Consider the following 12,088-nt stretch of genomic DNA (forward strand, 5'->3'; position numbering starts at 1 on the left):
CCAGAATATACTCTGGTCCTTAGGATCTCTAAAGTCTTGTTGAAATTCTTGTTGAAAGATCTCTAAAGTCTTTGTTGATAGTCATTTGGGTTACATCTATTTGTCTTGCTCTTATAATCAGTGCTACTGTGAACTTTCTTATGCATATCTTTGCACACATTGGCATTAGTATTACTAGAAATGGAGTTCCAGCATCATAGGGTATGTGCATGTTCAACTTTACTGGGCAATGCTGTTTTCAAATGACAGTCTCACCAACAATAGTTCAGCATTGCTGTAATTTCACGTCTTCACCAACATTTAACATCTCATTCTCAGAGGTCAATTGTGTTTTCTGCAAAATGTCTTTTTTTCTTGCCTATTTTTCTATTAGGATGTTTTGTTTTTGATACTTGGAGATTCTGTGTTCTAAATACCAACCTTTTTTTGGTTATTGTATTGCAACTATTTTTTTCCCAGTTTATGTAACTTATATTTCATTCTTGTGGTGTCTTTGTTGAAAAGAAATTCATAATTTGATGAATGTATTAGTTCTGTCCTTTATGTGTTGTACTGTTTAAGAAAATCTATATTGTGAGGGGAAATGTTTTTTCCTCTCCTTCTACTGAATACCAAAGTTAGGCAAGTTTCCTTGTGTGCCCTCTGAGAAACAGGTTTCTCATTTACCCTCATACTGAGGTTATAATCAGCTTTATGTAGGGAGTTTCTCCTTAGGTTCTTTCCATCCTGAGGGTGCCCTGGGCTGTATCTCCTGTCTTCCGCATGCAGACATGAAATGGCTCTCAGAACAACATAGAGAATAAGGAAACTGGGGAAACAACATCAATAGCTGTTGACTCCAGGACCAATTGCCTTCTTTAGCCCTGACCATTGCCAGGAAATGGAAGTCTCACATTCTTTGTCTCAGCCCTCCCAAAGCTAGGAACTGGACACTAGAATTGCTGTGATGTTTGCTGCAGAATAATCATGTACCTCCAAAACCAAATTTGCCACAAGAAACAGTACAAATGCAGCCATCAGTTCTGCTTTTGTAATGTTGTGTGGGTGTATCAGGTTTGTCAAAGTTAGCTTGGTGTGGAATTTGAATTGTAAGGGAAACTGGGATATTTGAGCTTTAGTTATCCAGCCACTGGCATGCTGTAAGACATGAGAAAGGCAATTTAGAATGGAGTTTTCAGACAATCTACAACGTCCACAAGGAGAAAGGGGGACTTCGACCTTGCATCCAGACCTGAGATAGATGAAATGTGGGCAAAAACCAAAAACAAAATAACAGCAACAAAGACCCTAAAGATGTAGAAATAAAATAACAGAAATGGTCTCCATTTGTGCAATCTGTGTTAGGGAGTGGCGTCCTTAGTTTTAGTTAGTTTTGTTATGGTTTTGGACATGTGAAGTTTATGTGGCCTGTAGAATATTCAAATATTTTAGGAGGCTGCTCGGTTCTATGGATGTGGGATTCAGAAGAGAGATCTGAACTAAAACTGTGGATCATCAGCATATAAGTTTTAGGTGAAGCTGTGAGAGTAGATGAGATTACCATGCAGTGTATGAATGGAGTGAGAGTTAAGTAGTTCCTATCATACAGGAACATTTATAGGATAGACAGAAAAAGAGAAGCTCTCACAAAGGAGAAAAAAAAAGAGTGAAAAAAATAGAACCGAAAATAGGAGAGAGCAGTAGTTACTATCATATAGGAACACTTACAGGATAGACAGAAAAAGAGAAGCTCCACAAAGGAGAAGAAAAAGAGTGAAAAAATAGAACCGAAAATTAGGATACAATATTATGGAAGTCAAGGGACGAACATTCTCTAGGAAAAAAAAAGTGTTGATGATTCGTGTTAAATGTTAAATGAGATCTAGAAGATCAGACATTTCCTTCAGTGTGCAGATTGTATACTGCACAATTCTAGAGGGAGCTAGTTTGTGAAAGGTTTGCCCTGGATTTGTGCAGTTAGCATACAAACTATATATCCATATGTAAAGACCCTAAATGAGAGTTAAAAGTGTCCATTGGTTTTAAAAGAAATCGTTGGTCAACATTCATTGTAGTTATGAGACTTTTAGGGGCAGTTACCAAATTCTACTGGGTTCAGATAATTGGGAGCTGAGGGATGGTCAAACACTTACAATAAAACACTTTAATTATTAGGTTATGACTTCTTCCATCACCAGGCTATGAAGTATTTCATCTGTATAACACCATTGCCAATGCAGTGGCTGACATGAATAGGACTGATGAATGTTGAATTGATTATTAGAGTATATACCTCCTCCCTCATGTTTTTTGGTTAGATAATTTGCTTATTTTCTCTCTGGCTTTATTATTCTGGTGGTATTTTTCCTTCAATGGCTGTAATACTGAAATAAATATTTTTATGCTTATTACATTTTTAATACTTTGTGTTCGCTCTTCTTAGTGATACCGTATATTTGTTCCATACTAGTCTTAGCACATGCTATGCTATGGACTGAATTGTATGCCCTCCAAGTGCATATTTTAAAGGTGCAGTGTGACTATATCTGGAGATAGGGTCTTTAGGAGTTAATGAAGGTTAAATGAGAGCATAAAGATGGGGCCTTAATCCAATAGGACTGTGGCTCTATAAAAGGAAGAAAAGAGAAAGAGATCCTGTGAGGACACAGTGAGTAAGCAGCCACCTGCAGGCTAGAAAGAGAGCCCTCGCCAGAGCCAGAACATGCTGGCACCCTGATCTCAAACCTTCAGCCTCTAGAACTGAGAGAAAATAAGTTGCTATTGTTTAAGTCATTCAGTCTCTGGTATTTTGTGATGGCATCCCAAGCAGACTAAGACCACACACGTCCTGTAATAGGAACTGGAAACTCAAAGATGAGCAGAAGAGAAATGGTATGTCCTTATGAAGTTTTCAGGATTTATCATTTAATCTTCTATTAATATTATAACAATTATAAATGTATTCTAATTATATTATAATCATATTAAAAGTTTGATATTTATAACTTAATAGTGAAATAATTTAATATTTATAATATTGACCAGTTATGTAAATATTAAATATTGATTACTCATATAGATATAAATTATTAGCTGTTTAAGTGGCAAAAAGGAAAAGTATAGGAAGCCATAAGAGTAGGATATAGATAGAATGCTGGACCTAGCTGTAAGGCTTTTCTGAGGAAGTGACCTGTGTAGAGATATGATGGATAAGTGAGGACAGTACAGGTGGGAGAACATTCCAAGATTCAGGACCAGCGTGTTCAAAGGCCCTGTGGTGGATCTCCGGAACTAAAATAGATTGCCACTATTGGAGTTCAGAGATGAAGAGGGAGTTTGGCAAGATCTGAGAGTAGAAAGTTGGGTGTTGTTCAAATCATGTATGGTCTTGTAAGTCAAAGACTTTGATCTTTATCGTAGGAGCTGGCAAGTCAGTGGGAGGAAGTAACATGACTTTTGAATTTTAAGATTATTTTGGTAATAGTGTGAAGAGTGAATTAGAAAGGTACCAAGAATTGAGGCAGGGAGCCTGTTTGTTTTTTAAGTGAGGCTTTCATTTTTTTCAATTCATTGTGACCTTTTGATTATAAAAAGTTTTTACCCTTAAAGTACCTTCTCAAAGTACAAATAGACAAACTAGGCAGTCCAATAGAATTGTGGTTCCTTTACATTTGTGACACTTTAGACAATTAATAATGTTAATTTAAATGACATTTTTGTTACATAGTCTTTTCCCTGTGGTGTTAGCTGCGGTAGTCAAATAATATAGTTGGCTCACATTTAAAGAATTAGCTGAAGGAATGTTATTGCTTACTTTGGAAATGCAAAGGGTTAAACATCTTCCAAAATATTATGTAATAATATTATCAACTTTTTACATGTAACTTGTTACACTTAATTAAAAATATTAAAGATCACATAATGATAAAAAATAAGGCATCAAATTTGTAATTTTAAAATTAAGTGATATTTTTCTGTTATAGAAACTGAGAATATTCCCAACACTTAAAGAAAAAATTAAAATAATACATTGGCTCCCTCTGCTGCTTGAACAAATTATTTCATTTACAAACATAATGTTGTCAACATTTTTCTGACATTATTACATGAAATTGCTATTACTTTCTCCTCCTTTTCCTTCCTCCTTCCTCCGTGTGGGAGATTTGAGACAGAAAGAAAATCTGTTTAGTAATTTTTTTACAATCCTGGTAAAACAGTTCTAATTTTCAGTCAAATTTTTCCCGAGGAGATAACTTGTTGTGCTAATACTTTGATGGCTTTAAATTCCTAAAATTGGGTTGCCTCCAGTTTCATCACTCATCTTAAAATATGTCCATCAAAACTTGTTTTATCATTTATATATTTGTGTGATTTTAAAAAATTAACTGACTTAAAACTTAATAGTTGATACATCCTCTTTACTTGTAGAATTATATTGGAAATAAATATTACAAATAAAAATGTATTTTTTCTAAGACTGTGTTGGTAAATACAGGTGAAAGTAGTTGGCAGTTTCATTTATAGTTGAGGTGTCTGTGTTTACCCTGGTCCATGTGTAAAGTTTTCAGAAAACGAAACAATGCTATAAATTCAACCCAGCTTTTTATGCTTTCCTACCTGTATGAATTGCTATTCCTCTCTTTTTGGTTGTGAGGAGATGAAGGTATACTTTAAATTTTAGCTATTTAAAAGAAAAAAATATATGCTGTTTTATATTATTTTTTCTCAAATGAAGGAGGTTGGGTTGAGGGGTACAAAAGGAGAATCAGCTGTGGAATTTTTTCTAAACATACCTCTCCCTACATAAATTTATTTTAGTTAATTTAAAAATAAGATATGCTTCAGTTTTAGTTTTATAAGCGTTAGAGAAGAATAGCAGTATCATACCTTAAAGCATACACAGGCTAGAGATATAAGAAAGTTTATTGCCCTAAAAACTATAGTATTTTATATGGCATAAGAGGCAATGTGGAAGCTTGGGATCGCTTGTTTCAGTGTTCTTATCTGTAAGACAGTAAAAACTCTTAAAACGGTGCCTGTGCATAGTGAGCACAATATAAATATTTGTTATTTAGTGAAAATAAAAAGAATAAGTACATTGTAAAACTTTCTTCTACCTACAACTGTGACTCCAGTGTTTATTCTCATAGGAGTATTCATAAAGCATTTCCAAAATTTATAGTGGGTAGTGGTTTTTTCGTGTTATGATCAATGCTATGTGATTAAAAAATGATCAATTTATATGATTAAATGAAATAATGAAATGTACATAGTAAAATAAGAAGTAGGACAGTGAAATATTAATACATTAATACAAATAATAGATGTACCTTTATGCAACACAGTCCCTGGCATATTAATAAGTATGTCTCTACATGCTTTGTGTGGTCAACACTGTGTTTAGTAATCACTAAATAAATATTGATAGGCTGAGTGCCATTAACTTACTTTGACATTGATAATCTATTATTCTACCAGTGTAGAAATTTCCTCCCTCTCTCTGTCACTGCCACCCTTCTTTCCTTCCTCTGTATGTAGACATAATCCTGAAAAGTCAGAACAAAATTCTGGATCTGATAATGAAAAGATTACTTCATTTGTCAATTCTAGTTTGTATTCTCTGTAAGATTGTTTTAAAGAATTCATTAGAGTTATGCTAATCTTCATAATTGTCAGCTCCTAATGAAAAGAGCTAGTGTGTGTGAGTATGGATGTTTCACAAAATTAATTCTACTTTTTCAAAAACTGTATCCATACCTTTATTTTGTTTCTGGGGCAAAATAGATAAAGCTATACTGTTTAGTTTTATTGAGTCACTTCCAATAGGTTTCCCAAGTTTCTTTAAAAATTTTGTGTATGAGTTGGAGAGAAAAGCTAGTCATGACTGAACTGTTATTGTAAATTAATCACTATTAGAACTTAGAAAAGGCAGATGACAGAAGCACACAAAATCAAACACTAAAAAAAGATGTCTCTGGGTTCTTAAGTTTAGCGTGTATGAAGATCATAAGTAGGGATTTATTTATAGACACTCTTAGGTGTGTCCCAGGAGTATAAATTTTTAGTAAGTAACCCAACTTATGTCTAATGCTAGTGATCTAGGGACCACATTTTGTGAAATACTCTTCTAAGGTGGCTCTTCACAGAGTTCATGATCTTGATGCAGGCTCTTTCCTTCAGTGCTAGTCAAAAGAGAACCTTGGACTTACCAGAGTGTTGATACTCTCTCTCAAACTCTCTGTAGAAATTGGCATCCACAGATGTCTTAGAATAATTAAAGTTTGGAACCCTAGGATTATCAATGATTGAATGTGCTAGAATTTCTCTTTTGAGGGGGAAAATCTGATAACATCTGTTTATATTTGTATTATGTTGTGGGTTTATGAAAAATAATTCTAGGGTGTTTGTTTTCATGCAGTTTGCTTGCTGGTGAACAGTGGAGATAGAATGTGACTTAAAGTTTCTCTTCTCTTGCTAAAATTGAAGATTTACCTTTCAAAAGACCTATTAGTCTGTCATATGCTTATCCATATACAGACTTGCACTGAAGTACACCTCTTCCTGCCCTGTTTATTAGATGAATTGGTAAACTTATTCAGAGGGCCAATTTCAAATGCAGTTTTGAAGATACCTTTCTCCTGGTATAGGGGATGGCACTGTTATAGGACTAACAGTTTCATATGCCCGTGTAGTAACAGATCAATACACTGAGATAGCAGGATTTGCAGCAGAGAAAGAATGTCATGATTGCAAGGTGTCCAGTGAGGAGATGGGAAGAGACCCTCAAATCCTTCATCTTCCTGAGGAGTTCTGGGCTGGGAGTTTTAAGGAAACCATGGAGAGTGAGGAGCTGGAAAATTGGGGTGGCTGATTGGTTGGGGAATGAGGGATGAAGTCATCAGGATGTGGAAACTACATTCTTTGGTGAGTCAGCTTCTGGTGGTATCCTTCTTTCAGAGCAGCTGGCATCAATGGGGTTTTTCAGACCAGCTGGTGTTAATAGTTTCATTGGTATGCAGGACCTAGAGGAATATCTCAAAGGGAAAACTAGAGGAATATCTCAAAGGGAAAACTTTGAGTTTCATAATGTTCAAGTTGTTACCTATAGAGCAGTTAAGGGAAACTATAATCTAGGATCTATGGGATTTGGGGCAATAGGCAGCAAACAGCCATGAGGAAGCAGGTCAGACAGCAAGCAGACCTGGGGATTAATGCTCAATGTGCTGCAAGCTTGGTTTATTTTTGTTTGTCCCCCTCTTCTTCCTTGGCTAATTTATAAAGTTTATAAGGACAGTTTTAGCATCTCTCATGTAAGAGTCTTATGACATACTTTATGGGAGGTCAGAAAATCCTTCCTAGGTTATTGACCTGCTTCAGGCGAAAAGGGCAGGGGGAAGGTTAGTGAGACCTTCCTGCATCCGCTGTTTTTCAGTATGCCAAGGAGGCCTGTTTTGGGGTAGTGTGTCCTGAATCCCATCATTCTGTTCCTCCATCTTTCTGCACATCCATCCAGCATCTTGATAGAGAATAGAGCAACTTTATTCTGTCATTAATAGAATTCAGATAGAATAGAGATTTGGGGCTGGAGAAAGTTGCCATGAAAGACACTATTTTGTCTCACATGCAGAAAAAGACACTAGATGTGTTCATTCAGTAACTAACTGCTAAATTGTAAATTTCATTTGATGACCTCAATGAGATGGAAGGGCTTTGTCTTAAATCACAGGTCGTTATTCCCTGAAGAAATTTTTAAAAAATCTTTTTTTGTGGGCTTGTTTTTTTATTATGGGAGTTAGGAAGGGAAGGCAGTGTATATTTGCCTTCTAGCTAAAATAGAATTTGTATTTTTGAGTTTTACTTAAATATGAAACCTGTGAAATAAATTCTGAACTGGTAATTAGTAATATCATTTATTTTTATTTAACAGGATAAAGATGATTCAGTTGATGCTCAAAATATTTGTCATGTGTGGCACATGAATGTAGAAGCCCTTCCAGAATGGATAAGCTGCCTAATCCAAAAAGTAAGTTCTTAGTTTCTGAGTAAAATTAAGAATATACAACCTTCAGAATGTTTTTGTCCTCCTTTTAGAGCTATTTTTCTTAGATGCATTCCTTGGCCAACCTCTTACTGCTCCTCACTCCCATTACCTCTCTTCACACTTCTTTTCTCCTTTCTCCGCTTTATATACCTACCTGTGTTTTACGCACACACACACACATGCACACACACACATAATATATGTTACTTTTAAATATACAGAAGCATATATATGACATATATATTATTATACACACACATATACATATTTACCTAAATACACATATAGCTTATTTAACTTGTTAATTGCCTAGCTCCCACCCTAGAATATAAGCACCATGAAGTCAGGGACTTTTATATTTTGTTCATTTGTATTTCCCAGCACCAAGAATAAGTCCTGTTGAATAAATGGAATATTCTGTATGTGTTATTCATATGTATACATATATACATAAATGCACAAGCATACAAAATAAATAGGATAATTAATGACCCTCATTGGTATAATCAAAATGAAAATTCTACACTTTAAAGGATCCTTAATGAAATATTATAAGAGCAAGAACTGACCTGGTATGTGTAGTTATTTTTCACAATTCAAAACTCCTGTCTTAGAAAATTATAAGTAGTAGGACTTTGGAAATATATAATTACATTTCTCCACTGAGCAGCTTAATTATTTGTTAAAAAATAACATTTGATAGATATCCCTTTTCACACTGTAACAGTTTTCTAGGAGAATGCCAGTGCACTGTTTATAAGTGTCCTGAACTTAACAAAATATATTAGGACACTGCAGATATTTCACTATCTCAGTTGGAAAGATAATTTTAAGACAGTTCATTATTAATTTCCAATCTAAGCATAGAAAATGCACTGTCTGATGTATGCAATCAGTATATTTTGGTTGTATGTAAAAAGCCAGGAAGAGCTTTATTCTGTTGGTTGGGTAACGTTCCCTCCCACAGTGCTTGGTATGCAAGAAGTGTATCAAAACAGATACTTTTCTGTGAGATTTTACTTGCAAATTAAGCTCTGTCCACTGATTTGCTTCCTGGTTCCATAGCATATTTTTCTTTAGTTCACACTGTATCCATATTCAACCTATTGTTCAAGAGACTCTCATTTAGAATTCTTAGGAATATTGTTTGGATGGGCATGATTTGCAATATGTTATCATTCTAGAACTTTGGCGCTGCTTATCTTTATTTCTTGGAAGGCTTGTTTTATTTGCTGTTCAGTCTACTAATCAGAAAACAGAAAGCTAGCCTTTTCTGTGGCATAGAAAACTTTCATGTGGCTGGCTTTAAAGAAAAAAAAATTTCTCTTCAGTTACTTTATAATGAAAGCACTGTCTTTATTCTTCTTTATTACCTGTAGGCCCAGTGGACAGTTGGAAAACTGAATTGTCCTTTCTGTGGGGCCCGTTTAGGGGGCTTTAATTTTGTCAGCACTCCAAAATGTTCCTGTGGCCAGCTTGCAGCTGTACATCTCTCCAAGAGCCGGACTGATTATCAGCCAACACAGGCAGGCAGACTAATGAGACCATCAGTGAAATACTTGTCACATCCTAGAGTTCAGTCAGGTTGTGACAAGGAAGCTCTGCTGACAGGTGGTGGCTCTGAAAACAGAAATCACAGGCTTTTAAACATGGCCCGAAATAATAATGACCCTGGAAGATTAACAGAAGCACTCTGCCTGGAGGTGCGACCAACATATTTTGAGATGAAGAACGAAAAACTGCTGTCCAAAGCATCAGAACCAAAATACCAGCTTTTTGTTCCCCAGCTTGTGACTGGCAGATGCGCTACAAGAGCTTTTCATAGAAAATCACATAGTTTGGATCTGAACATCAGTGAGAAACTGACTTTATTACCCACTTTATATGAAATACATAGTAAGACTACTGCCTATTCCAGACTAAATGAAACACAGCCTATTGACCTTTCAGGCTTGCCTTTACAATCTAGTAAAAATAGCTATTCCTTTCAGAATCCATCCAGTTTTGATCCTAGTATGCTGCTGCAAAGATTTTCAGTGGCCCCCCATGAGACCCAGACACAAAGAGGAGGAGAATTTCAGTGTGGTCTAGAAGCTGCTTCAGTGTATTCTGACCATACTAATACTAACAATCTGACTTTCCTGATGGACCTGCCCTCAGCTGGCAGGAGCATGCCGGAGGCCTCAGACCAGGAAGAGCACCTCTCCCCTCTGGACTTCCTGCACTCAGCCAATTTTTCATTGGGCAGCATTAATCAGAGGCTTAATAAGAGAGAAAGGAGCAAGTTGAAGAATCTAAGAAGGAAACAACGAAGGCGTGAAAGATGGCTACAGAAGCAGGTAATATTTTTCAAAAGAGTTTACTAAAAATCTGTATTATAAATACTGGAGTTTGGGGAGTGGAGCTAACTTTCAACATCTGTATAATAAAAACTTGGTTTTAGTAATTCTGGAAATGCTATTTCTCTCTGAGTGCACTCAGTAATCATGCAGCCATATTATAATTGGCATGTATAACCCAGTCTCTATGCTTCATGCATGTTTAGAAAAAACCTCTTTTGTGCAATTTTTCGCAATTCTAATATTTTAGAGGGATATTAATCTCTAATTAACACTGGATTGTTTTTTACTATATTTTAAATGTATGACATATTAGGATTGTTTTGCAGCGGTTTTATTTTGGGTTGAAAAAATGTTTTTTTTAAATTTTGGGTTGAAAAAATGTTTCAGTAAATTCAATCAGGTGACAAAGTCATTCACTTTTCATCACATTTATAATAGCTTAAGTGGGTATTTCAAGAAGCCTTAATCATGGGCTCACACGATCTAGTTATGATTAACTGTGCTAAATTGTGAAAATTATCTAAAGGGTAATTTACCCTTATTGTAATTTCGTAGGAGACTATGCTTCTCTATGATTTGATCTACTTCAGTACCCATAGTAATATGCTCCAGAGTAGGATGTGCGAAGGAACTGAACAGTAAATGTTAGGTGCTGTGGAAAGAAAGCAATTAAAGCCAATGGATGAGATGCTCATGAACATTTGAAAGTTCGAACCAATATGTTTCTGAATAAACTTTTTTTTTTGCAAATTGACTTTATTATCTACTTATTCATAATAGTGTCCTTATTAATCAGTGTGTTGTAAACAGAACTAAAATACAGAAAGCTGCAACTTGATATATTAGTTTTTTCTTTTAAAAATAGTTAAGTGAACTCATTATGGCTTATTCTAGTTTTGACTCAATGAAATAAAACTACTGCATTGAATGCTTCAGATTGAGTGTTTTTGTCATCTTTCAGTTACATAGTATAATTATTTCTATAGGTAATTTTTTATTATATTTTTGGTTGCTAAAACGCATTTCAGTTTGGTTTGTTTACAAGTGATAGTATAATGTGACATCAAAGTATATATTACAGAATGTAAAAAATGAATGTGTTTTAGCATCATTATAACATACTTCATAGTTTAACTTAAACTGTAAAATTCAAAATTTTCATTGAGACTCGAGCTATACATAGGTAAATTGGAAGTGATCATATGTTAAGTGAATATTCAGAAAGAATATTTTCAAAATGATTAATGTAATGTGGAGGGCTCTAAAATCTGTAGCAAATAGAAATGAAAAAGAAGTATGAAAATTATACTTTGTACTGTAAATATATGCAGATAACATCTGCAATTTAAAAATGTGTTTAATTCTTAGGCTAGGTAGTTTTGAAAACCTCAGCTACATGATTGATCATTTTCCATCATAGGAATACTCTTATACACAGTTTAGAGCAAAGCAAGTACAAAGTTAATGTGTTTTTTTTTTGTATAGATGAAGTTATTTGTATTCATTCACATACATATGATATAGCTTAATTGATCAGAATTAATGAGTCTTAGACCTGTTGTCACAGGTCAGTGTAGGGAGTGACATGGCAGGATCCTACAGAGTTTGATTGGTAGCACAGAAGCTACAGGCAAACAAATACCCAGTGTTTATTTAGCACAGTAAATTTTAAAGTGTATGGCAGCACAGAAATTTTGTGTTAGTGATATAAGTATACATCGCAGTT

The 12,088-nt window shown here is 34.9% G+C and overlaps 1 protein-coding gene across 15 annotated transcripts in view, besides 1 other annotated feature; it reads left to right on the forward strand.

Moving 5' to 3' along the window:
• The window catches only part of RNF180 (ring finger protein 180), a 207,519-nt gene that overhangs the window by 38,808 nt on the left and 156,623 nt on the right, over positions 1 to 12,088 (forward strand). For 14 of the 15 annotated variants that reach the window (XM_047417118.1, XM_047417120.1, XM_017009388.2 and 11 more), the window contains exons 3-4: positions 7,907 to 8,002; positions 9,400 to 10,359. In XM_047417118.1, the coding sequence (XP_047273074.1) occupies positions 7,907 to 8,002; positions 9,400 to 10,359 (1,056 nt within the window). The remainder of the gene's footprint in view (positions 1 to 7,906; positions 8,003 to 9,399; positions 10,360 to 12,088) is intronic. The other variant, NM_001323291.1, reaches the window with a different exon arrangement.
• Positions 6,724 to 7,018: an enhancer, noted in NCBI's record as "tiled region #1263; HepG2 Activating non-DNase unmatched - State 24:Quies". NCBI's record gives its function as "activates a minimal TATA promoter and a strong SV40 promoter by Sharpr-MPRA in HepG2 cells {active_cell/tissue: HepG2}" and the evidence as "EXISTENCE:reporter gene assay evidence [ECO:0000049][PMID:27701403]".

This window comes from Homo sapiens, chromosome 5, assembly GCF_000001405.40.
Source record: "Homo sapiens chromosome 5, GRCh38.p14 Primary Assembly".
Lineage (NCBI taxonomy): Eukaryota > Metazoa > Chordata > Mammalia > Primates > Hominidae > Homo > Homo sapiens.